Consider the following 27,951-nt stretch of genomic DNA (forward strand, 5'->3'; position numbering starts at 1 on the left):
AATTCTGACTGAAGTCTAAGGCTCAGCAACTAAGGACAAATGTTCTAGACCAGTAGTTCTCAAAGTGTGGGCTTTGGACTAGGCGGCATCACCATCACCAAAGAACTTTTTAGAAATGCACATTCTTGGCCCCAGCCCCAGGCCTGCTGAATCAGAAACTGAAAAAAGAGCATAGTTTTTATAAGTCCTCCAAGTGATTCTGATGCATGCTCAAATATGAGAACCATTGACCACACTTAGACTCACTTCCAAAGAACAGAGTGTGAAAAGGGAAAAATAGTAACTTCAGCAAACTGGTAAATATCACATTAACCACAGGATCAAGTTTAATATCCCCAGTGTAAAGTCATGCTGTCATGTACCCTCTGCTAGGATGCAATGAGAAGGCATTTCACTTCTGTGGTCTTCCTAAACACTCATAACCCAAATTTAATCTTCATGTAATCTCAGATATATGAAGACAAAATTGAGGGATATTCTACAAAATACTCTTCAAACTGTCAAGGTCATGAATCACAAGGAAAACCTGGGAAATTGTCACAGATCTGTGGAAACTAAGGAAACATGATGACCAAATGCAATGTGGGATCCCAAATTGGATCCTGGAACAGAAAGAAACATTAGTAGAACAAATGGAGAAATCCAAATAAAGTCTATAGTTTAGTTGCTAGTATTGTAGCAATGTTCATTTATTGGTTTTGAAAAATATACACGTTAGATGTTAACATTAGGGGAAGCAGGATGAAGGGTATGTGGGAGCTCTGTACTGTATTTGCAACTTCTCTGTAAACCAAAAATTATTTCAACATTTAAAAACAAATCAAGGCCAGGCACGGTGGCTCACACCTGTAATCCCAGCACTTTGGGAGGCCGAGGCGGGTGGATCACGAGGTCAGGAGTTCAAGACCAGTCTGGCCAAGATAGTGAAACCTCATCTCTACTAAAAATACAAAAAATTAGCCAGGTTTGGTGGTGGGTGCCTGTAATCCCAGCTACTTGGGAGGCTGAGGTAGAGAACTGCTTGAACCCGGGAGGTGGAGGTTGCAGTGAGCCGAGATCACGCCACTGCACTGCAGCCTGGTTGACAGAGTGAGACTCTGTCTCAAAAAAAAAAAAAAAAATCAACAAATATAAAAAGACACACACACAAAGCGTGTATCACAGATATGCAGTATCTGCATCACCTGGAAGCTTGTTAGCATTGCAGATGATCAGAACCAACTCCAGATTTACTGAATCAAAAACATGCATTTTTCAAAAGATTTCTTTGGTGAATTGTTTAAACATACAATAAAATTTGAGAAGCCCTGTTGTTTACCATCAGCCTGGGAATTAACATTAGCTCAATCTTGTCTGGACCTGAAATACATATCAGTTTCGATTATTGAGCATCTGTGTACTTTTGAGACCCCCACGCTCAATTTGCAAACTAATTCTGACTGCTAAGTTTCTGAGCAATTCCCCTGGCCTCAGTCCTTGCATGGTAACACCCCTGATGAGGCTCAGACCATATCTTGTGTTTGCAAGGTTTTTTCTTTTTTAACTGAATGGAGTTTTGCCTTTGATCCCTTACTCTGTGCCTGTGGACCTGCTACCTGCCAAAGGCTTCCCTCTTGCTGACAGTCAACCTGCCTGGTATTTTAAGTACTGCCTTCTAGAAGTCTCCATGTGTCTCCCATGCTGACGATACTTGGATTTCTATCTATTGTTACTATAACCTCAGATGTTGTGCTTTACTTGTCAGATCCGACCATGACTTGGAAGTATCCAGAAATAGGACAGCGTGTAGAAATACTTCCCAATCAACAGCTCAACAAATAGGACTGGACTTCCAGGAGTCCCAGGGTTTAAAAAAAAAAAAAAAAAAAAAAAAAAAAAAAGACAAAGAAAATCTTTCAACAGGATCTGAGCCTAGAGGTAATGTCTAGGAGCCACTAGAGGCCTGGGAATAAAACTAGAAAGGTAAACAACTTCCTCTAGGGCCAGACTTTCTTTACTTTTGTGTCAGTGAAGTCTCAAAAACAAGAACCTACTGACTCTGTAAAGACAATTTGCTGATGGAGTATTGTTATAAAATCCCAGCCAGAATGGAGAAAAGGGAAACTTCCCGGGAGCTACTGGCCTTGACCTCCTTCTCTTGAGGAAAGGGAACGAAGTGAAATGCTGAAAGTTAAACATCAGGAGAACTTACTCTTAAAAATCAGGAGAACTTACTCCTTAAAAATGTTCCTGACCCAGTCTGTCATAAGGGAGCCTGGGGGGGTTCTTGCTTTATATAGGGTAACACTGGGCACTCACCTTGGGGCATCTTGGCAACTATCATCTTTGGGAAATATGGTCTGAATGGGACCATGGCACAGGGATTTTTAAGGGAACAGGAAGACCAGCAGTCAAATGACTTGGAGGTAATTGAGGCAACCCTACAAGGACCCGAAAGCTAGAACCAACCTGGTGAGAGGACACAGGGAAAAGCTTATGGGATTCCACATCTCTCTGAGTCATAAATGAGCTCTGGATGGGGCTGGATATTCCCACAAGTCTACAGGTGAGGGATAGGTCATGGATAACCAATATGCAACTCTCTGGGAGTGCAGAGTGTACTCAAGTTGCCAGTGATCTGCAGACAAGCCATTGGGTCACTAATCCATATTTACGCATGCACCCATTTCTAACTTTTATGTGTCTGATTTCTAATCTCCTCTTTTGAAAAGGTCTAATCTTGTTGCTGATGAACTGAGAAAAGATTTTCCCACATTTTGAGCAGAATAGAGATGAGATTAATATCTTTCACAACATCAGTGATTAAAACAGTTGCAAAATTTGGTGAGTCAGGATAGCTGGCAGGGGTGGGAGGTGTGGAGGACAAAGACTACCTGACAACATTGGCCCCTTGCTGCTGTGGAAAAGGCAACCTGTGCTCTAAGGGTTGACTTCAGTGAAAACTGTGGGAAGAAAATCCACTGTTCTATCAAAAGCTTTATAAAATATTCTGATATAATCTCCAATTTAGGACCTTTAAGCTTAACATTTTCACACTTCGGAGTCTAAAAATTACAATGAAATATCCAGTAGTAAAAGACATTGTCATTGAAGGCAGAGCACTTCCATCTCTGGCTTTGTGATCATACATGTACTTACGAAACTAATTAGCTTCAGGCTAGGCGGTATGTGAGTAATTTATCCCTCCCATATTAACATCAACTGTGAAATCTAAACTGAATGATGACATTCCAGAAACAATTGCATATGATGATTCTTCAGCAGGTTTGGGCAATGTAGAGTAGCTTTCATGAGAGACTACATCATCTCATGCTATTTTAATGATTATGGCTCTACTGGAAAGGAACACAAGGTGGAAAACTAGTTTAGCGCCTGGGCTCTGGTTCAAGTCAAAGTGAAGATGATGAGCAAGCACTATTTTAAAATTAATTTAGGAGATTATTGGTAATTGATGAGAAGTTATGTTTCAGAGATGCCTAAAACAAACACTGACAATTCTGAAAACAAGTGAGATGTTCTCATTAACCTATAAGTATATAAAAGTATGTATACCCTGATCACAAATATGAAAAAGCAAAATGGCTGGAATGAAGTGCACTCAATGGTTAATGGTGATTGTCTTAGATGGTGAGGTTAGGAGTAAGTTGTTTTTCTTTCTATTTTTCAATAATTTCAATTTATCTAAAATTGTTCTATAGTTAGAAGAATAAATTCTGTCTTAAAAAATATGTTCAACAGGGACTTGTGATGCTGATAGGATTAAGAGTTCATATCAGAAATTATTGTAAAGTGCCCTCCCAGTGGTACCAGGCAGAAAATAGGCCATCCAAAAGGAGTTTTATAGGAAAGAGAGAGAGACAGAGAGATGAGTGTATTTTGAACAACCTACAGGTTAGTACATTTACAGTGTCTAACAGGAAGTTGACTAAACAGATATAGAGCACAGGAAATAAAGATCTGGATCAGAAAAATACGTGGTGGTCTGGAGTAGGTAAGTTCACTCTAGGTTACAGTGTAAAGTAAGAGGAGCAGGTACAGAACTATGGGGAAAACTATCATATAAGGAGGCATCAGAATAACAAATAATGGAGGCAACTGAAAAGGGAGGAGTTTATTAGATTCCTAGGGCTGTTGTAACGAATTAACGTTAACTGGGTGGCTTATGGCAACAGAAATGTGTTCTTTAGAAGCTCTGGAGGGTACTCTAGACGTTCTGGAGGGTAGAAGTCTGAAAACGAGATGTTGGCAGGGACATGCTCCCTCTGAAGTTTCTAGGGGAAAATTCGGCCTTGCCTTTTCCAGCTTCTGGTGGTTCCAGGTTCCCCTGCTTGTGGCTGGATCACACCAATCTCTGCCTCCATCTTAACATTGCTTTCTCCTCTTTTATTTCTTACAAGGAAACTTGTCATTAGATTTAGGGCTTAAATCACACCCCTAGGTTTCTCCCATTAGAGTGTGGACATATTTTTTTGAGGGTGACCATTCAATCTATTACTGAGGGAGAGTGATCAATTGTGAGAACTATGGGGAACAAGGTCTCTTAATATCTTTGTATGAGTCAGGCAATGAGAAGTTCTGCAGTTAAAAAGAAAAAAAAAAAGACCTGCTTAATTTTGGGTAACATACCTTTCTCCAAATGCACTTGGCACTCTTTTCTCCCAGAGTAAATACAAAGATGAATAAGACCCAATCCCAGACCTCATGAGGTCTGGTGGGAGAGAGAAGTATGTAATCAAAATAACTGCAGTGACCTGTTCAAGTGCTAAAATAGAAAAATATCTTAAGTATAATGGAAGCCCAGTGAGAGGTAAAAGTAATTTTCTTCAGGATCAAAGAAGAGTTTACTGAGTGGAAACTCTGATTTTAAAATGATATTGTGTAATTCCAGGAAGAGATTTTATGGCCAATGGCGTAGAGGCCAGGAAGTACTTACAGAGTGTTTAGGAGACTGAGAGGTTGGGTAACTCTTTTTCTTTTTGGGACAGTTTCATTCTTGTTGCCCAGGCTGGAGTGCAATGGTGCAGTCTTGGCTCACTGCAACCTCCACCTCTCGGGTTCAAGCGATTCTCCTGCCTCAGCCTCCCAAATAGCTGAGATTACAGGCACCTGCCACCATGCCCGACTAGAGGTTGGGTAACTCTTGGGCATAAGTGAACAAGAAGTTGTGGCAGAGACTAGGACTGTCAGCAGAACATAAAGGGCCTCGTGCTCCATTCTAATCTAGATCTGGAAAACTAAAGGGAGTCACTGGGAAACAAGGGGATTTTTTCAAATAGAGAGGGACATGATTGGACTTCTCTTTCAGAAAGATTACATTATGTGGATGATTGATTAAAATGACAACTAGAGTTTGAGAGACTAATCAGTTTCAATTAATGAGTGTTTTTAAATGAATTCATTAAAAATTAGTCCAGTGAAAGAGCTGGAATTAGTCTAGCATTTTGAAAAGATTTGTGGTCAAATACATTGAAAATGGATGAAGGATATAAATAATCCTGCAGTTTTGTTTTTTATTTCAATAAGGGCTTGCTTAATTTTATGTACTTTTCTCCAAATGCATTCAACAGTCACCTCTCACAATGTAAAAGGATGACCCCGATTATTTCTCTTTTCTGAGTTGTTAGAAAGTTGTTTCTAATTACTTCGAAAACTGGTTTTCTATTTTACAAGATTCCAAATAGTGTTTTAAAAGTTTTTTGGACTTAAAGGACTATATTATAGGGATGTTTTCAATCCAGAGACTCATTCAGGGTCACTCATTCTCCCCACATATTCCTTATCTCTAGCTTCAAGTTCATGGGCCGAATCAATCCACTTGGGAATCTTCTCTAGAAAGTCATAGGTCCACTCTCTACCTGAATGCAGCCCACTCTCATCCCTGGAGTTGTTCCTTTAGTCTGGATACACAATTAGTAAGATACCAAGATCTCACAATTTAGTGGAAGGTTGAAATGTCATGAGTATCCTAGGGCTTTTGCTTTGCACCTTCATCAATTAATGACTTCATCATACACTGTCCCCTGCAAAGTTACCATACATAGTGGGGGTATATATAGATAATTTATTGGAATGACAATGGTTCTTAGAAGTAGCCTAATGCTTTTGCTTATGTCTCTGTTATCAAGCCAGTCATAACGTGATCTGTTTCTTGCCAATCAATTTCAGAAAAGAGATGAAAACCTGAAAGTGTTGTTTATGACAAGTGATTTTTATTTTCTTTACAAAACTAATGCAGTAAATGCAGCACCAGAGTTTAGTTTCTGCCTTTTCATTATAGGAATCTTAACTATTGTGTCATAAATTTCAAAATGGCTGGGCGCAGTGGCTCCCGCCTGTAATCCCAGCACTTTGGGAGGCGGAGGTGGGTGGATCACGAGGTCAGGAGATGTAGACCATCCTGGCTAACATGGTGAAACCCCGTGTCTACTAAAAATACAAAAAAAAAAAAAAAAGTAGCTGGGTGTGGTGGCGGGCGCCTATAGTTCCAGCTACTCGGAAGGCTGAGGCAGGAGAATGGCGTCAACCTGGGAGGTGGAGTGAGCTGGGATTGTGTCACTGCACTCCAGCCTGGGTGACAGAGCGAGACTCCGTCTCAAAATAAAATGAAATAAAATAAAATAAAAATTTCAAAATATAATTTAAGGTTTAATGTATATAGTAGCCCCACATACAGATTTTCCTGTGTCGTTTTTTTCATCCAAGAAAACTTCTGTGATAAAATGTCAACTGGTAACCCTTGCATATTTTGTTTCGACGTCTTCACTGTTACTGAATCAAATTAGCCCAACATGGAGAGCCTCCTGTCTTCACACGCCCACCTCAAGTCACAGAACACCCAGGTTTTGTTTGAAGCTAGACCCTTGGCATATAGCATTTTTCCTCAGGCTGTTATTACTTGCTCAAGCAGGTTCCTAAGAGTTCTTTGCAAAAACTCACTTGTTCCTTTTATGTTTATTTTCTGAGTAACATGAGGAAGAAAGAAAGGGAAAAAAGTCAGAAGTTCCCACACTTACAGCTAGAGAGAAGAAGAAAAGCGGAAGTTGAATAGCTAGTGACAATTTAGAAATAAAAGTAGCCCTTCACCAGCTCACAGAGTCCTGACACAGGGACCAAGTTTAATTCAACATTTTGTATTGCAAAGTTTGCATTTCACCAAACTGTGTGTTTGTGTGAACACAGGCACACCACCGGCAAATGTGGAGTTCACACATACACACCACAGACAAATGAATGGACAATTCAAAAGTGTGCTCCTCTCTTCATTTCCCTATGTAGTCCTAGCATTACACAATGACCTTTAAGGTCTCTGAGAGTCAATGAAAATTAAGCATGTTATTGCAAGTAAGGTTTGGGACCAAATGAGTTCATTTGATCACGTTCCAGTTTCTTAATTACTATGCCTTCATTTTAATAAGAGAAATTTCACACAAACTATAACTGCTCTTCTTTTTAGCAGGTACTGACAGAAATATAGCATAAATAATTGCAGCATATCCTGTGATTAATATTTACCGTCTTATCTCTTCCCTGGAGTGGGACAGTGGAATCCACAAAGCCAACAATTAAAATGAGACATTATCACGTTTTAGTCCCAGATAATGTATCTATCATTTAATTTTTCATAACTCATTCATTCAATACACATTTCACGTGTATTAAGTTTTTGTGCCCACAGAATTCCTGCCAGTGTCAGAAATAGGATGAGAACACCAACTTTTGAAGGAAAGGGAGTTCACTTTTGATCAGCATCTGCTATGTGACAAATAACTTGTCATCTCATTTATTCTTCAATACCATCATTATTGATATAGGTATTGTTATTCCCATTCTATAAACATGGTGAACTGAGGCTTAGAGAAGTGAAAGGACTTTTACAGAATTCATACAGAAAAGAAAATGATCAAATATTTGACCCATTCAATCAAATATTTGACCTACTACACATCTGGCACTGCCCTGGGTACCAGAGATATACCATGATACCAAAAGGACAAAGATTCCTTCCTCTCATCTCTTTTCACAGTAACTGTGATTCTCAGTCCTGGTTGAGAATACACTGGAATCACCTGGAGAACTTCTAAAACATACTGGTGCCCAATGTCCACCCCTGGTAATTAAATCAGAAGCTCTGGAAATGAAACCTGAGCATAGGGATTTTCAAAAATCCACCAAGTGATTCTAAAGTGAATCCAGGGCTGAGAATCTTTTCATGTATTAGATTATGCTGTATGCTGTATGCTGCATATGTTTTGAGGTCACTACCCTCAAAACACATTGTACAGAAATGCATATAAATAGAACACACTTAGAAAACTATTTTAAGGGGATATAAAAGGAAATTTGAAATCGTGTGAGATGTATTCAAAGTGTTGGAGTTTACAAAAGGAAAAATTACTTTTGGATTGGGATGAGATCATGCAAGTATAACTTTTTAAATAAAGGGAATGTCGAGGGGCCACTTGAATGTAGGATATACCTTTGACTAAAGAAATGTTTCTCAGACTTTGGTATGTATCAGAATCATTTATGAAACTTGGTAAAATGCAGATACCCAGGCCCTGTGTTACTCCCACAAGGTCGGGCCTCTCTATACTTTGCTAGTTCTGATGATTACAACACACAGTACAGTCTGGTAATCATCAGGAGAGAATTTTGAAGACATTTTTGGCAGATAAGAAAGTGGTTTTTACTGGGAGACAAAGAAAGGCTAGAATGAGTATAGCATGTATGGTGTGGGGGTGGGGCTGATAATGTTAAGGAAATCTACATAATTTAGATAGAAGATGTGATGATTAATTTTGTGTGTCAATGTAGCTGGGCCACAGTGCCTTGATATTTGGTCAAATATTATTCTGAATGTTTCTGTGAAAATACTTTTTGCATGAGATTAACACTTAAACAGACAGACGTTGACTAAAGCAGATTACCCTCCATAATGAGGATGAGCCTCATCCAATCAGTTGAGGATCTTGATACAACAAACACTGACCTCTCCCAAACAACAAGGAGTTGTCAGCAAACTGCCTGTAGGACTCAGACTACAATTCTTTCCTGGGTCTCCAGTGCCAGCTTCACCTGAAGATTTTGGACTTGACCCTCCATGATAGTGTGAGCCAGTTCATCTCTTTCAATCTCTCTCTCTCTTTCGCCTCTACACAGACACACATACACACACACACACACACACACACATGCACGTACACACCCTGGTTGGTTCTGTTTCTCTGGAAATCCCTAACAGAGAAGGAGAAATTAGAAAAATGACAGAATACATTAACAGAAGGCCTTGATGGACACGGTAAAGAGCTTGGTCTTTATCTGATTGTAATTCTGGAAGTTTTCAAATAAACCAAGGGAGACTTCAGAGTACAGATGTTGCCTTCGCCACTCACAGACAGAGCAAACACCAGTGTATAGCGTTGGTCAATCCCAGTTGTTCTTTTCTTGTTAAAACTGGCACCCCAGAAAGAGAAGCAGCTACGTAGAAACATGTAATTTATAGAGCAAGATTTAAAAGTTCACTGAACTGTGAGTTTTCTTAATTGGTATACTAAGGAACCACTAAGATATTCACAGGGATAAAGTGCAATAGAAGTGAAATAGGGTACTGAAGAATGAGGCTGGAGATTTCAAATCCTTGAGGTACTAACCTCATGTTCTGCTGTCATTTTGTGAGATGTTAAATCTGTACTTTTTGATGCAGTAACCATGAAAAAGTCCCTAGTGTTTAAACAAATAAATCAGGTTAGACTTCAAATGATTTAAACAAAGAACACTAGAAATTTTGTAACCTGCATTCCTAATTTCATTTTCAAAACTTTTTGCTCACATACATCTTTTGTCCCCAGTGCCACTAGACAGATAGGAAAAGCTGCTGAATATGAATTTGCTTTAAAAATGTTGCTGAAATTATCTATGCTTATTATACTCTGTTATAGCTATGGAGTTAAGCGAATTTTCTCTGTTCTAGACCTGTAAAGATTTTCTTCTGAATTTGTCTCAAATCTGTCCATTTTCTTTCCAGTGTATACTAGGCTGTGTTGAAATGCTACTCCATTCATTCATATACCCACTTATCCTATTCAGCATTTATTAAAGAAATATGTATTGGGTACCTACCTTAAATCCCACACAGTGCCAGCTACTGGGGATACAATATTGATCAAGACAAAAGATACAACCTTGTTCTCATTAGAGTCTTATAATATTTTTAAATGATGTCTCAAAATGAAAAGGTAAATAAGGTAAAATGTTCCAAATGATGCTGACCCAGTGACCTGATGAAACTGCATTGGCTTTGCAAACATGTTGAGGTTTTCTTTGTTGGTGCTTGATTTCTAGAAACTGCATGGAGCAGAACTTTCATGAGTGGAGATTCTAATAGACATACTTTTCCAGGAGACATGTGATGTGAAGTAGTTTAAAGCTTTCCTCCTTCCTCACTTCCCCAACCTCTCCTCTCTTTCATTTCATGAGTATGTTCGAATCTCTACTAAGAACAAGGTTGGGTAAGGATATGGTGAGTGAAAACACAGTCTTTCCACTCCTAGAGCTTACAGTAAAGTAGGGGAATAAGGAAGGAATTTTTTAAAAATCACACAAATCAATGTAAGCTCTATTAAAAGTACAATTATTGAAAGGCACATATAGAAATGACAGAGGGAGCTCACTTAGTCTGGAGAGTCAGAAAAATTACCAAACCTAGGTACCTTTATTTCTACTCACAGAAAATTATAAAGTTCTATTCATGCAGTAGCTCAGTTAACTTAGTATCAATCAATGTCAGGAATAACATGATTCTTTTCTCTGAAATGCTTTATAAAATGTCTGCTGTTAAATATCCCAGAAGAGGTTACTTTTCTTATTTGTATGGCCAGACAACTCTATTACATAATTGTGAGGAAGGTTAATTTCCCTTCAGAGTGGGTAAATAGTATCTGAGTTGAAAATGGATTCCCCCATAGGGCAAAAATAGAGACAACCAGAGCACTCTCTGCTATAATAACATTAAATCTCCCTTCTGGATGTGCAAGTCCAAGTGGCTGCTATTTAATCATTATATATATTTGTCTTATGGGCTACAGAAATGGTCTTTAGGATCACCTGGAGAGCTGAAATACTGACTCCTGAGGTCCATCCCTAGACATGTTGATGGGTTTGATTTAACTGTGTTTTTAGAAGCTCTCTAAGTGATTCTAATGTGAAGCTATGATTTAAAACCATCAGGCAACAGTGATCTCAAACCTCAGGTCACTGTCATTCTAAATGTGACCTATATTCTCTGGTCACAGTCTTGCCTATTATTCTCAAAGTTTTGCACTCTACCAGTGTTTTGACTCTGGGAAGAGAGGTCCCAGTATTCTCAGAAGTTAAGAAGCATTCTGTGCTAATCACATGTTATTGATCATTATTGGTTAATACATTTCAGAGGTGAAATACTCGTTTTATAAAAAGACTTAAGGCAGGGAATGTTTGGGGTACAATATGAAAAACTATGTGTGGGTTTGAAATGCATCTAAAGACTGAATCTTGTGACACAAAGTCTAGTGGGGATGTATATTGAAGTATATTTAGCTCAAGAGACACTTAAACCAAAACAAAAATTTGCAGTTACAGTAACCATAAATTACAGTATCTGGAATGCTGAGAAAAATTTCTATCCAAATTCAACTAGACTTAAACTATAGTAATGATTCTTAAGGCTAGACAGTGATGTGTGTGTCATGCTGGACCCCTAGTGACTTCAATAGGGATAACACTATGTTAGAGAGGCCTAATAGTTCTGGGTGTCTGCTGCTCCAAGTGTTCATCTCATTCATTCATTCATTCATGTATTAATCATTCAATCATGTAATAAATATTTAAGGGTCTAGTCGGGGCCCCATACTGTGCTAGCTTCTAGGATGTAGCAGAGAACAAGGCAAACGAGGTCCTTGTAATACAATGCTTATCATCTAATTTGGACCACAGACTAGCAAACAAGCAACAGCAGGAATCTGTGACTAATGCAAGCAGAGATCTGATGTGGGGTACGAGGGAAACTCAACACAGGAGCAGCTCACCAATCTATGGGGTACAGAAAGGGCTTCCCTGAGAAAGTGACATTTAAGCAATAGCTTGAAGAATGAATAGGAACAGTGAGAAAAAGAAGAAAGTGGGGAAGAACATTCCAAGCGGAGATAACAACAATTACAAAAGCACAGGGTGTGAGAAACAGAGCAAGGTCCTTTAGGGCAGTTGGAAGAAGTTCAGTATAGTAGGAGCAGGTAGTGCCAAAGCAGGAAGTGTTACAACAGGAAACACTTAAGGAAGAAGGGTCAGGTCACAAATGCTTAAAAGAGATTAAATGGTACCCTAGGGTGTTGGCAGCTGTTGAAGAGATTTACACTGGGGAGTGATTTGATCAGATTTGGATTTTAACATGTTCACTCAGGCTACTGGATGGCAAGAGAGTTGGAGGCAGGATGAAAGGAGACTTGTTAGACTGTCAGAGGAAATAAGAGTGGAGAATGCTTGGAAGTAGGGTAATGACAATGAGGTAAAGAACACTGGATGAATTTGTGAGAGATTTAAGAAGAATCAGGGGCACCAATGCTTCATTTAAATTCCACAGAGGAAAGTAGCTTTTTTGGGTCTATTTTTTTCACTGATAAATCTCAAATGCTTTGACCAGGGCCTGGCACACAGTAGAAGATGATGAATATTTGAAGAATTGATTGGATATAGTAGGTAACTTAGAAGAATGGATTGAGAATATTATCCAAGTTTTGGGCTTGGGAAACTGAGAAGCTAGTGGTTCCATTTACTGAGAGAGGAAGGAAAAAAAGGGGATGTCCAGGGGGAACAATGGGACCAGTCATGTTTTAGATATGTTTTGTTTGACAAAACTTTGAAACATGGAAATGTGAAGTAGGGAGTGAGAACTCAGGAGAAAGTTCGGGGCTAGGGATTTGTGAATCTTTAATGTAATTTTTATTTTATCAATGGAACATTTAATGTGACCATGGTGGAGATGGCTATGTAAGGTATGCAGAGGAAAAACAGAGGAATATCTAAGATGCACCCCAAGGAACACTAACATTTAAGAGACCTAGAGAAGAAGGGATTTCTCTCTTTCTCCAGATACCTATTTTGCACCTTCTTCATAATATGCCACTAGACCTATCTCTTCCAGGAGCTCTTATTTTATTAACCTTGACTCAAGAAGAGAGAACATTAATATCTATAATTTCTCAAAATCCCTTGGTGTCTAAAATGTATGGCTGGGTGATCACTTCTTCATTTGCTACCTTAAATCTTGTTTTCAACCTAACGAAGATTTTGGACACAGTGCTATTGTATCAATTTATACTATATTTTCACAGTGCTATTGTACCAATTTATACTATATTTTCACTTGATATGGTAAAGTCATAGTCACAGACATCCAATTTAATGGTAATTATTATCATTTTTTTCTGCAGAGCAGAATTATCAAATTCAGAAATGGGAGAACCTAGAGAAAGCATCTGTCATGCTTTTATTTTACACAGGGAATTTGTACTTACTCAAGATTATTTGGCGGCAGAATGGAGATTCGAATACAGAGTTTCTAGCTCGCAGTTCAGGCTTATCCCACTATTCTACCCTGTGTCTCATACTTTCATAAGTTTTAGTTTCTGTGCTTATTTAGGTTAAAACCCCTTGAAGGCAAAGACCATGTTACTTTTGTAGTGTTTCTTCATCCTCGATGTACGTAGTGCAGTGCTCAAATGTAGAGAAGGGGAAAAGGAGCGCTGGGGCTGATGTTCTGGATGCTACAGGGTCACTGTTCAAAATGATCAGACAATTCCCTTGCAACATAACAAGGGTTTCTTTCACTCATGTAACCTTGGTGTCAAAGATGCAGCACGCAGAGAATCTAAGTACTTCATTAAGGTGTCCCATTCCTTTAGCTCCAGAAGACTTCTTAACTGACCTATCCTGTAGCTTAAATCCACCCCCTTCCACTTGCAACCACACAGTGTATCAAAATTAAGTATTATTTTAAAAATCAGTAATATATGCATATAATGCCAGTTTATGATACAGCTATCTTGAGGGTGTCATTCTCTTTGCTCAGTTGTGCAAGGCACCTAAATTTATCAAGGACACCAAAGATAATGGCAAGGGAGTGTTGGGTTATACAAACAATACCGTCTGTATTTTCCGACTGGATATTAAAATAACAATAGAAGCCACATTGGAAGGCCTACTATATGCAAAGCTCTGTACTAGATGCCTTGCATAAATAAACCTATTTCAATCCCCTCAAAAACTGTGAGGTGCAGAAACCAAGAATCAGAGATTGTGGGGGATTTTCCTAAGGATACACAGTCCCTAAATGGCAGAGTCAGGATTTGAACTCAGATCTGATTCCAAAACCCATTCCCTTCTCATTATGATACATTGAAATAACTGAAATTCAACCTTCTGTTTATCTCTCAATAGTAAAGAATATTATTTTTATTCTACAGGAACCACATTCTACTTGTGTAGGAGCTGCGACAGTAACCAACTCATCCTGCCCTACTCACAGTATAGCATCTTTAGGCATTGACTACAATCAGCCAAGTCACCGGCTGAGGGGAAGAACAAGAACCAACCTTGAACTATGATCTAAGACAAGGTGTCCAATCTTTTGGCTTCCCTGGGCCCCATTGAAAGAAGAATTGTCTCGGGCTACATATAAAATACACCAACACTAACGATAACTGATGAGCTTAAAAAAAAAATCACAAACACACAAATCTCATAAGGTTCTAAGAAAGTTTACGAATTTGTGTTGGGCGGCATTCAAAGCCATGCTAGGTCGTGTGTGGCCCAGGTGGGCCACAGGTTGAACAAGCTTGATCTAAGATAAAGTGGTTCTGACCTTCAGCCTAAATTCCTCTCACTAGCATTCGAGATGGAATGAGGTCAGGGCACACACTTTCATGTTTTCTTGCTACAAATTACTTGGATGAGAAATTTCCCTCTGAAAATACTAAAAAAGTGAAGAGGAAAACAGCTACTTCACCCTTAATTCTGACCAAGAAGGGAAAATTGTGAACTAAAAGGCAGCCACATGTTCCTTGGGAAAGAAACAATCACATGATCTTCGTTTAATTAGCCAGATAATAAAACCACGGATTTGTTAGTCAAAATATATTTGACTATTCTGTGCCAGACATTGTTCTAGGCACAGGAGAGAACAAGACAAAGACCCATAGCCTCGGATTGCTGACATTTCTATGTACAGAGAAAAATAGACAAATAAACATTAAGATTTCAACATTTATCCTAGAGTTTAGAAAATCTAACTTTAATTGTTTTTAGAAATTTTTAAAATCTAAAGTCCTAATACCAGACAAATGGTTCCAATTTTTCTTTTTGATTTTTAAAAAATTTACAATAAGATACTTTGAAAATGGAAACCTGGTTTTAAAGTGAAAATGTATTCAGTGACTAATGAAATTTCCATGGGAACAGTGGAAAGAATACTGTCACAAAGGATAGTTGCCATCTTTTGATGGTTATTTAAAGTCTTGGATATGTTAGAAAATGTATCGCAATTTTAAAATCAGTATTCTTTGTTACTTTGTATCAATTCAATTAAGGCAACATCCTATTCCATAGTGAAAATATAGCTATTCTGTTAAACTCCAGCTTGGAATACATTTTAAAGTGCATTCTTAATAAAAAATTTTAAATAGGAGAACATGGAACAAAATTAAAAGTATTCAGGAAAATAATTTTATACCTAGAGACACTAGAGAAGAAGGTTAACTCAAGAGTGACCAAAGACTTTAGATGTTCTAGTATTTTTTTTTCTTTTTAGAAATTAGACAAATTTAATTTGTGGAAAATTGCTAGAATGAATTCATGAATATAGTTTGCGAGCATGTAGGAAATGAAATGGTGATTTTTAGGGGATCATGGGTATCTTGGTAACAGATCATGCTTTTTTAATGAGCAGAACAAAATGTGCCACAAACACAGTGCCTTGGTATTTGTAAATCATTTTCCAAAATTTTTCACAATATCTATATAAATAAGATTTTTAAAATTGTATGTATAACACTATAGTTGGCAAGTTTCATTCCTGGTTCCACAATAACACTGATTAGTGGTTGGATGGAAAGCCGGCAGGAATGTGTTGTGTCTGTTCCTGTTTAACATTTCTGTAAGTGATTTGGTGAGGATACAGAAGGCATGTTATTGAATGTGTAGATGGACAAAGTTTAGGGTAAAAGTTAATGTGTTTGAAAAAAGAGGTTATATTAAAAATACCTTCATTGACTGGAACAATTGGAAAGGACATACTTGTCTGCCTACAGGGACAGAAAACTCATTACCATGGTGGCTTTTTCATTGGGTTTGCTAGGGCCAGAATCCAGAACTCATTGAGTACTTCTTCTTATAGCATATATAGCAATTCATTAACATTGGGGAATAATAATAATACAATAGTCATTGTCCAGAAAGGACTAACTTTAATGGTAAAAGGCTTTTTTTGTCATCATTTTCTTCAAAAGAATAAAAATATAAAATATTAAAGTAGGAAAATATCCCATAGAAATAATGCATTTTAACTTTTCTCTTTTAATACAAAGATCTTCTATAACATCACACATATGTGGCTATCAAACCTTATTTATATATATAAAAATATATAATTATTATTTTATTTTAAATATATATTTATATATAAATTATTATTTTATACATATATATATGGTGCTTAAAACAGTGCCTAGAACTTACTCACTCAAAAAATATTTGTTGATTAAATGATTTTATGGAAGGGAAGTGTACATCTTTTTTTTTTTTTTTTTTTTTGCGAGACAGAGTCTTGCTCTGTCACCCAGGATGGAGTGATCTTGGCTCACTACAACCTCCGCCTCCCAGATTCAAGCGATTCTCCTGCCTCAGCCTCTTGGGTAGCTGGGATTACAGGCATGCACCACCATTTCCAGCTTATTTTTGTATTTTTAGTAGAGACGGAGTTTCACTATGTTGGCCAGGCTGGTCTCGAATTCCTGACCTCAGGTGATCCGCCCACCTCAGCCTCCCAAAGTGCTGGGATTGCAGGCATGAGCCACCGCACCTGGCCAAGCTCACACCTTTCTTAAGTACCATATTTCATTTCTAGAAGCTACTAATTTTTGAAATAGTCTTCCTCATACTGAGTCAAACCCATTTTTCTGTAACTCTTTACTTATAAAACACAATTATGCTTTCCTGATATGGACAAAGTAAATCTAGCTGTCTTCCAAATATTTTAAGACAGTTGGCATTTTCCCTTTAAGTATTTGTTATTTTTTCCAGGTAGAAGTTAACTAACTCCTGAACCTTCTTCATATAACATGGTTTCCTATCCCTTCATCATTCTTATCATTTTCCACTGAATGTGGGTCAAATTTTCGAGGATTTTCTTATTTCTTAAAATGTGTTGCCCTGAACTAAAGAACTCTTCAGATGAAAGTTAATCTGAACACCACAGCACATTATTGTAAGATATTAGCTATCACAGACAGCTATATAAGCAGTGATTATTTCAGTCTGAAATCAATTAAAATCTTTAAGTGTTTTCTGAAACTACAGGGAACTCCTAGCTGACACCTGAGTTAAACATGTTAACGTTTTTTAAAAGTAAAATTATACTTTAGTTTTGTTTCCTATAGCGAGTCTTTTAGTTTCTCATTTTCTTAGCAGAAGGATAAAAATGAAGCATTTATTATAAGAAAAAGCTTTTTTTTCCTGTAAAATCATTTAAATTTGGTTTTAAAATCTCATACAGGCCTAATCAGATGACATTCATTTTTCTCTGTGTTTAGTCCTGAGTTTTGAAAGTAACACCCTGGTACTCATGGCCTTGGCCCTCCCTGGGCAGGAAGCCTGCCCAGGCCCTAGGTCAGCATGGGCACTCGGTGAGGGAGGTGCAGGAGGCCAGCTGGGGAAGAGGCCACTGGAGCACAGCAGAGCCAGATTGCCCAAGTTTCCCTCTAGGCCAAACAGACACGAAGATTGCATGAGCATTATTATTGGCAAATCGGGAACCTTGCTTCTCTACTGCGTGCTCTGAAAGGAGGAAGAATGCTAGGGTTTTTTCCCTGGAAGGGAGAAAAGAGTAAACAGACAAAAAAGCACATCAGGACACATTCCTCCCAGTCCTCCTCACATACTGAGGCTGGAATGAATATGAGTCAGAGGGGAGTCTCTTCCATATGGACCTAAGAGGGTGCATTGCAATTAGAGTAAGAATTCTGTTCATTCATCCTTAGGTAACGGATTTTGAGCAATTTGCAGGTCTAGGAAAGGTAACAGTAGATGTGAGGAAGACCCAGTCTGTACTCGCAGGAGCCCCCTCCTCCATCTTTCCTGCACCACAGTGAGCCAGCCCTGCCTACCCACTCTCTCTTCCAGGCTGCCGCAGTCCCTGAGCCTGCTCCACGTGAAGGCAGCCATGGCCAGGCAAAACCCATGTGCCCTCAGGGGTCACATAGCCGAGATACTCTTGGCATTTAAGTGCATAGAAGTTGGATGAGGGCAGGGCGCGGTGGCTCGTGCCTGTAATTCCAGCACTTTGGGAGGCCGAGGCGGGCAGATTGTGAGGTCAGGAGTTCGAGACCAGCCTGACCAACATAGTGAAACCCCGTCTCTACTGAAAATACAAAAATTATCCGGGCATGGTGGCACACGCCTGTAATCCCAGCTACTTAGGAGGCTGAGGCAGGAGAATCGCTTGAACCCGGGAGGCAGCAGTTGCAGTGAGCTGAGATCATGCCACTGCACTCCAGCCTGGGGGACAAAGTAAGGCTCCATCAAAAAAAAAAAAAAAAAAAAAAAAGAAGTTGGATGAGTACTTCCAGGGGAAGGACAGAGAAGGAGGACCTACTAGTGACAGGGGACTCTTTCTAAGGTCCTGGCAATTCCACTCCACCTCCAAACTTACACACTACACTCAGCCAAACACAAACTTGATCTGAGAAGACTCTTTCTCCTTAGAAGAGAGGTTAGCTACCATATCTTGTTCTCTGAGCATTCCCCTTTGGAGTCTTATCCCAAATTTCACCCACTTCAAGCCACTTATCAATGTATTCCTTTAAACACCTAACAGTTCTCTCCCTGAGAGGAGTTCCAGTGATAAAATTTTCTCCATTCCAAAGAGGGACACAACTTTGCAAGTCTAGACCATACATGCAGTTGGCTGCACAGTAGCAGTCCCAGTGACGTTTTATGCCCCCCCGAGTTGTTAGGCTGTTAAACAGCTTTTCTGAGGCAAATAAAACAAGGCTATTTAACAGTGGTGCCTTGGAAAATGCCCTGATGGCCAACTGATCAAATATGGGATTGTCCAAGGCTAGATCTTACGTTCTTTTCATGTATGGGTCTAGGCCCCACTTCCTTTTCTAGGCCAGGGTGATCGGGGGCTGGTCCAAATGGAGCCAACAGTGATGTGATGGAAATGAGCTCTTTCTGCCTTGCCACGTAGCTTCTTTCCCTTGCCATGAGTCTAGTTTTCTGCAACTATAATAAATCTGGAATGGCAGATCCTTGATCTACACTTTTCTGAGACCTCAAAGGATGAGTCTTCCCCAGTAACACTGGCTAACTCTTTGCAGAAATTTCAGTGTCTGATGCTCTGTTCCTAAGAGTTCAAGAAAAACCTGGGTGAGCCTTGCAACACTACTGCCCCCTAGACTGGGGAGAGGTTCAAGCCACTGGATACAAGAAGAGGTTAAAATTTGTCTACAGGATGAAGTGATCAACCTCTAGAGTCTAGCTCAGGAGGAAGCAATTTCATTTCTGAACTACTGAACCATAATTCACAAGCGGAAAGGATTTCCACATAGTTCAAACCATTCTTTGTAGGAATGCAATGTTCAGATATCATTATATGGGAAAATAATATGTTCTATTTATTTATTTGTTCTTTCTGTCCTTCCATCCTCATCCCCAGCCAAGCCACAATCTCTTATTATGAATTCATTTTGAGAAAAAAATAATTAAAAGTATTTCCCAACAGAATAGTTTCTCACCATTCCCTCAGCTATATTTACATATGGCTGCTGCAATGGTCTCCAGGTACAATGAGACGAAGACTTACAATAAAGAATGTCAACTGAAGGAAATGAAGAAGTAAATAACCAGACATAATTGGCCCCTACTGCCCTCCCCTTGGCAGGTAATCACTTCTATTCTCTATTTTCCTCATACTTTTTTATGCTGAGATGACAGGATTTGGAGAGACTCACCTTACCTCTAAACTCAAGAGAAGATGCTGGAACAAAGCTCTAATTTACAAATTGAAGGAAAAATTTAAATGCAACACCATCTTTAAATTATAGTCAAGGCATTTCTCATCTTATTTTCCTTTCTTTTTTTCTGTTTTTTGTGAACAAATAGCCTTGTTTTATTGGCCTCAAAAAAGGTTGTTTTACATTCTAAATACTGGACAGGCCATCCCCCCATCAGCCAGACAAAACACATTAGTGGATTGTATTCAGCCAGAGGAACACAACTTTGAAAGTCTAGACCATACATGCAATTTACTGCAGATTTTTAAAAATCTCATCTTTTATTTCTTCCAAGTTCCTCAAGAACTCTGTAGGAGTCATCATTACCTCATTTAGTCTCCTCAGCAACAAATAAGAGAAATATTATCTCCATTTTACAGAAGCACAGACTGCAGAGATTGAGTTCCCCCAGGAGCACACAAGCTGGTAGGTGGCAGAGCTAAGCAAGGACGCTGTGACATTAAAGTCCATGCTCTTAATCCTTAGGCTGTGCTGCTTCTAGGTAGTAAGTGAGGAAAGCAAAAGTAACCTCCGTGTTGAACTCACATTTGGCTGTTGTATCTTCAGGGTGTTACTGTGGCCTGAGGAGCCACAATGCTGCGGGGCAAAGGAGGGAAGGTGACCCGGCCACCCTTCTCTGCACACAACTTCTCATCCCACTCTATGTTTGTATCACATGTCTTTTCTAAGAACCTCTCGTTCTCTTTTCCCAGCCCCTAGAAGCAACAGGATTTGGTGGAAAACTGGCAGAATTTTTTCTTCCTAGTCTAGTCTATTTTTGGTCACTGTGAGAGCTCGGGCAAGTCCTAATTGTTCTCAGTTCCAAATCTCTAAAACAGAGTAATTATCTCCCACTCTTTCTGAAAGAATAAAATGATAACAGTGCATATGAAAGTACTTCATAAATGGGAAAATAATCTATATAATAGATTGGTCCAAGCTTAAGTTTGAAAAGTTGAGAACCCACTGGCAAAAAATAAAGTGGCATAAACTGATTTTTTTCTCTTCTAGTACTGTACCTAAGGTCCTAAAACATATTGGTGATATGGAAGGTAGACAAAATGGCCAAATAGAAGCCTTCACCCATTGTTCTCCCTGCAGAAACACTAAATTGAACAACTATCCACACATAAATCACCTTCATATGAAGCAAAAATCAGGTGAGTGATCACAGTATCTGGTTTTAACTTCATATCACTGAGAGAGGCACTGAAGAGGGTAGGAAAGACAGTCTTGAATCACCAATGGCACAGAGATAGAATCTGTGTGCATGGGGGAAGGAGGGCACGGTGATTGTGGGACTTTGCATTGGAACTCAGTACTGCCCTGTCAAAGCCGAAAGCAACACTAGAAGAACTCAGCCGGTGCCCACAGAGGGAGAACTGAGGCCAGCCCTAGGCAGAGGTGAGTTATCCATCCCAGTGTTTGGAACCTGAGTTCCAGCTAGCCCCATCACTGAGGGGCAAAGTGCTCTGGGGTCCTAAATAAACTTAGAGGCCAGTCTAGGCCATAAGGACTGCAATTCCCAGGAAAGTCCTGGTGCAGTGCTAGGATTGGAGCCAGTGAACTTGGGATGCACATGACATAGTAAGCTACTATCCAGGGTATCCAGAGAAGTGCTTGTGTCATGCCTCTTCCAACACCAGGCAGTACAGCTCCCAGCCCCAAAAGGGATTATTTCCACTTGAGGAGAGGGGAGAATAAAGAAAACTTTATCTTGCAACTTGGATACCAGCTCAGCCACAGTAAGATAGGGCATCAGGCAAAGTCCTGAGGCCCCTATCCCAGATGCCAGCTCCCAGATACACCCTGGGCTAGAAGGGAACCTGCTGCCTTGAAGGGAAGGACCCAGTTCTGGCAGGATTCATCACCTGCTGACTAAAGAGCCCTGAATAATCAGCAGTGGTACCCCGGCAGTATCACTATAGCCCTTGGGTAAGACTCAGAGATGTGTTGGCTTCAGGGGTGACCCAGTCTTTTCCCACCTTGGGTGGCTGTGGGGAGGGACCCCTTCTGCTTGAGAAAAAGAGAGGGAAAAGTAAAGGGACTTCGTCTTGTAGCTTACCTACCAGCTTGGCCACAGTAGGGTAGAACACCAGGTGTCATCTTGGGGTTCCCAATTCTAGGCCTTGGCTCTTGGATGTCATTTCTGGACCTGCCCTGGACCAGTCAGGAGCTCACTGCCCTGAAGGGAGAGTTCCACATCTGGCATTTACCACAGCTTGACTGAAGAGCCCTTGGGCCTTGAATGAACATTGGTGGTAGCCAGGCAGTACTCACTGTGGGCCTGGGGCAGTGGTGGCCACAGGAGAGAAGAGACTCCCCTGCTTGTGGAAAGGGAAAGAGTGAGAAGAACTTCATCTTGTGGCTTGGGTGCCAGCTTAGCTGCAGTAGAATAGAGGACCACATAGATTCCTAAGGTTTCTGACTCTAGGCCCTGGATTCTAGATGGCATCTCTGGACCTGCACAGGATCCGGGGGAACTTACTTACCTAAGGAGAGGATACAAGCCTGGTTGGCTTCACAACCTCTCATCATAAGAGTCCTGGGGCCTTCAGCCTTGAGCAAATGTAAGTGGTAGTCAGGCAATGATTACAGCAGGACTTGTGTGAGACCCAGTGCTTTGCAAGCTTTAGGTCAGACCCAGCACAGACCCAGTGGGGGTGGCCACAGGGGTGCTTGGGCCACCCCTCCCGCAGCTCCAGGCAGCTCAGCACACAGAGAGATACTTTGTTTGAGGGAAATGAAGGAGTGAAGACCAGTCTCTGCCTGTTAATCCAGATAATTCTTCTGTATCTTATCCAAGTCCACCAAGGTGGTACCTCTATGAGTCTGCAATAGCCACAGCATTACTGGGCTTGTGATACCCCTAAACAGATACAGCTACAGTGATCAAACACTTAGATCACAGCATGCAAGTCCCTTCAAATACCTAGAAAGCCTTTCCAAGAAGGATGGGTACAAACAAGCCCAGATTGCAAAGACTATAATAAATACCCAATTCTCCAATGCCCAGATGCTGACAAACCTCCACAAACATCAAGACCAGCCAGGAAAATATGACCTCACCAAATGAACTAAATAAGGTACCAGTGACCAATCCTGGAGAGACAGAAATACATAACATTTCAGATAGGTAATAAGTAATTTTGAGGAAACAATGAAATTCAAGATAACACAAAGAAGAAATTCAGAGTCTGATCAGATAAATTTAATAGGGAGATTGAAATCATTAAAAAGAATCAAGCAGAAATTCTGAAGCTGAAAAATGCAACTGACATACTGAAGAATGCATAAAAGTCTCTTAGCAGCAGAACTGATAAAGCAAAAGAATTAGTGATCTTGAAGGCAGGCTATTTGAAAATACACAGTCAACAGAGAAAAAAGAAAGAAGAATAATAAAGAAAGAAACACACCCACAAGATCTAGAAAATACCCTCAAAATGACAAATCTAAGAGTTATTGGCCTTAAAGAGTAGAGGCTTTAAAGAGTAGAGGGTAGAAAGTTAATTCAAAAGGATAATGACAGAGAACTTCCCAAACTTAGAGAAAGATATCAATATTTAAGTACAAGAAGGTTATAGGACACCAAGCAGATTTAACCCAAATATGACTACCTCAAAACATTTAATAATCAAACTCCAAAAGGTCAAGGATAAATAAAGGATCTTAAAAGCAGAAAGAGAAAAGAAACAAATAACATGGTGTTGCTCCAATATGTCTGGCAGAAGACTTCTCAGTGGAAACCTTACAAGGCCAAGAGAGAGTGGCATGGAATATGTAAAGTGCTGAAAGAAAAAAAAACAAATACATCCAGCAAAAATATCCTTCAAACATGAAGAGAAATAAAGACTTTGCCAGACAAACAAAGGCTAAGGGAATTCATTGACCACACCTGTTCTATAAGAAATGCTGAAGGGAGTTCTTTAATCAGAAAGAAAAGGAAATTAGTGAGCAATAAGAAATCATCTGAAGGTATAAAATTCACTGGTAATAGAAAGTACACAGAAAAACACAGAACATTATAAAATATAATTGTGGAGTGTAAACTGATAACTTGAGTAGTTTTTCTTTCAGAAAAACTGAAAGATAAACCAACAAAAATAACTACAACAGCATTTCAAGATAGAGACAATACAATAAGATACAAATAAAAACAACAAAAAGTTCAAAAGTACAAAGACAAATGTAAAATGTAGTTTGTATCAGTTTTCTCTCTGTCAGTTTGTTTATGCAATTGGCCCTAAGTTGTCATCAGTTTAAAATAATGGGTTATAAGGTGTTATTTGCAAGCTTAATGGTAACCTCAAATCAAAAAATGTAACAACAGATGCACAAAAATTAAAAAGCAATTAAAAGATACAACCATAGAAAATCACCTTCACTAAAAGGAAGACAGAAAGAAAAGGAAAGACAAAACTGCAAAATAACCAGAAAACAAATAAGAAACTGGTAGGAGTAAGTCTTTACTCCTGAATAATAACATTGAATGTAAATGGACTAAGCTCTCCAATCAAAAGAAATAGACTGTCTGAGTGGATTAAAAAACAGGACCCAATGATCTATTGCCTACAAGAGACACATTTCACATGTAATGACACATATAGGGTGAAAATAAAGGGATATAAAAAAACAATCATACCAATGGAAACCAAAACAGAGCAGGAAAAGCTATAATCATATCAGACAAAATAGATTTCAAGAAAAAAAACTATAACAAGAGACAAAGAAGATCACTGTATAATGATAAAGGGGCCAATTCAGCAAAAAGATATAACATTTTAAATATATATGCAACCAACACTGAGACACCCAGATATATAGGGCAAATATTTTTAGAGCTAAAGAGGGAAATACAGTCCAATACAATAATAGCTGGAGAATTCAGTGCCCCATATTCAGAATTAGACAGACTATCCAGACAGAAAAATCAGCAAAGAAACATTGGACTTAATCTGCATCATAGACCAAATGCACCTAATAGGTATTTGCAGGACTTTTCATCCAATGGTTGCAGAATATACATTCTTCCCCAGCACATGGATCATTCTCAAGAATAGACCATAAGTTAGGTCATAAAACAAGGCTCTAAAAATTCAAAAAAAATTGAAATTATATCGTGTATCTTCTCTGACCACAATGGAATAAATAACAAGAGGAATTTGGGGAACTATACAATCATGTAGAAATTAAACAACGTGTTGTTGAATGACCAGTGGGTCAATGAAAAAATTAAGAAAAAAATTAAAAAATGTCTTCAAACAAATGATAATGGAAGCACAAGATACCAAAACCTTTGGGATACAACAAAAGCATTACTAAGAGGAAAGTTTATCAGTATAAGCACCTACATCAAAACAGAAGAAAAACTTCAAATATACAACCTAATGTTGCATCTTAAATAACTAGAAAATAAAGAGCAAACCAAATCTAAAATTAGGAGAAGAATTAATAAAGATCAGAGCAGAAATAAATGACATTGAAATGAAGAAAACAATACAAAAGATCAATAAAAGGAAAAGTTGCTTTCTTGAAAATATTAATAAAATCAACAAACCTTTACTCAGACTAAGAAAAAATGGGAGAAGATCCAATAAATAAAATCAGAGATAAAAAGGAAACATTACAACTGATACCACAAAAACTCAAAGGATCATTATTGGCTACTATAAGCAATTATATGCCAATAAATTGGAAAATCTAGAGGACATGAATACATTCCTAGACACATACAACCTACCAAGATTGAACCATAAGGAAATCCAAAACCTGAATAGACCAATAACAGGTAACAAGATAGAAGCCATAATAAAAAGTCTTCCAGCAAAGAATGCCATCAGTGACCCGATGGTGTCACTGTGAATTCTACCAAACATTTAAAGAAGAACTAATACCAATTCTACTCAAACTATTCCAAAAAATAGAGGAGAAGGGAATACTTTCAAACTCATTCTACAAAGCCAGTATTACCCCAATACCAAAATCACACAAAGACATATCAAAAAAAGAAAACTACAAGCCAATATCTGTGATGAACATTCATGCAAAAGTTCTCAACAAAATACTATCAAACCAAATTTAACAATACATTAAAAAGATCATTCATCATAACCAAGTGAGATTTATCCTAGGGATCCAAAAATGGCTCAACATATGCAAATCAATCAGTGTGGTACATCCTATCAATAGAATGAAGGACAAAAACCATATGATCATTTCAATTGATGCTAAAAAATCATTTAATAAAATTCAAAATCCCTTCATGACCAAAAAAACCATATATAGATGGAAAATATCTCAACACACTAAAAGCCATATAAGATAGACCCACACTAGTATCATACTGAATGGGAAAAAACTGAAAGCTTTTATTCTAAGATTTGGAAAGTGACAAGGATACCCACTGTCCCCAATATTATTCAGTATAGTACTGGAAGTCCTAGCTAGAGCAATCAGACGGGAGAAAGAAATAAAGGCATACAAATTGGAAAGGAAGAAGTCAAATTATCCTTGTTTGCAGATGATATAATCTTATATTTAGAAAAACCTAAAGACTCTATCAAAAAACGATTAGAGTCAACAAACAAATTTAGAAAAGTTGCAGTATACAAAATCAACATCAAAAAACCAGTAGCATTTCTACATGCCAACAGCAAACAATCTGAAAAAGAAATAAAGTAATCCCATTTACAATAGCTACAAATAAAATTAAATACCAATAAATTAATTTAACCAAAGAAGTAAAAGATCTTCAATGAAAACTATAAACTATTGATGAAAGAAATTGAAGAGGACACAAAAAAATGGAAAGATATTCCATGTTCATGGATTGGAAGAATCAAGATTGTTAAAATGCCCGTACTACTAAAAGTAATCAAAGCATTGGTAGGGATTCAATACAGTCCCTATCAAAATACCAACGATCTGCACAGAAATAGAAAAAATAATCCTAAAATTTATATGGAACCATAAAAGACTCAGAATAGCCAAAGCAAGCCTGAGCAAAAAGAACAAAACTGAAGGAATCACATTACCTGACTTCAAATTACACTGCAGAGCTATGGTAACCAAAACAGATGGCATTGACATAAAGACAGACACATAGACCAGTGGGACACAAGAGAACCCAGAAATAAATCCATAAATCTAGAGTAAACTCCTATTTGACAAAGGTGCCAAGAACATACATTGGAGAAAAGACAGTCTCTTCAATAAATGGTGCTGGAGAAACTGGATATCCATATGCAGAAGAATGAAACTAGACCCCTTTCTCTTGCCATATACAAAATTCAAATCAAAATGGATTAAAGATTTAAATCTAAGTCCACAAACTATGAAACTATTAAAATAAAAAATATTGGGGAAACTCTTCAGGACACTGGACTGAGCAAAGATCTCTTGAGTAATACTCCACGAGGACAGGCAATAAAAGCAGAAGTGGATAAATGGAATCACATCGAGTTAAAAAGTTTCCACACGGCCGGGCGCGGTGGCTCACGCCTGTAATCCCAGCACTTTGGGAGGCCGAGGCGGGTGGATCATGAGGTCAGGAGATCGAGACCATCCTGGCGAACAAGGTGAAACCCCGTCTCTACTAAAAATACAAAAAAAATTAGCCGGGCGCGGTGGCGGGCTCCTGTAGTCCCAGCTA

General features: G+C 38.7%; 1 protein-coding gene and 1 long non-coding RNA gene across 3 annotated transcripts in view; one reads left to right on the forward strand and one right to left on the reverse strand.

The window, feature by feature from the left end:
- Positions 1 to 27,951, forward strand: part of LOC101927118 (uncharacterized) — a 117,987-nt gene that overhangs the window by 78,604 nt on the left and 11,432 nt on the right. For both annotated transcript variants that reach the window (XR_001745980.2, XR_242492.3), the window contains exons 4-6: positions 14,496 to 14,647; positions 20,596 to 20,726; positions 21,312 to 21,460. This is a non-coding gene — a long non-coding RNA (uncharacterized LOC101927118). The remainder of the gene's footprint in view (positions 1 to 14,495; positions 14,648 to 20,595; positions 20,727 to 21,311; positions 21,461 to 27,951) is intronic.
- FABP12 (fatty acid binding protein 12) overlaps positions 1 to 27,951 on the reverse strand; it is a 65,159-nt gene that overhangs the window by 15,081 nt on the left and 22,127 nt on the right. The window lies entirely within an intron of this gene.

Source organism: Homo sapiens, chromosome 8 (genome assembly GCF_000001405.40).
Source record: "Homo sapiens chromosome 8, GRCh38.p14 Primary Assembly".
Taxonomy (NCBI): Eukaryota; Metazoa; Chordata; class Mammalia; order Primates; family Hominidae; genus Homo; species Homo sapiens.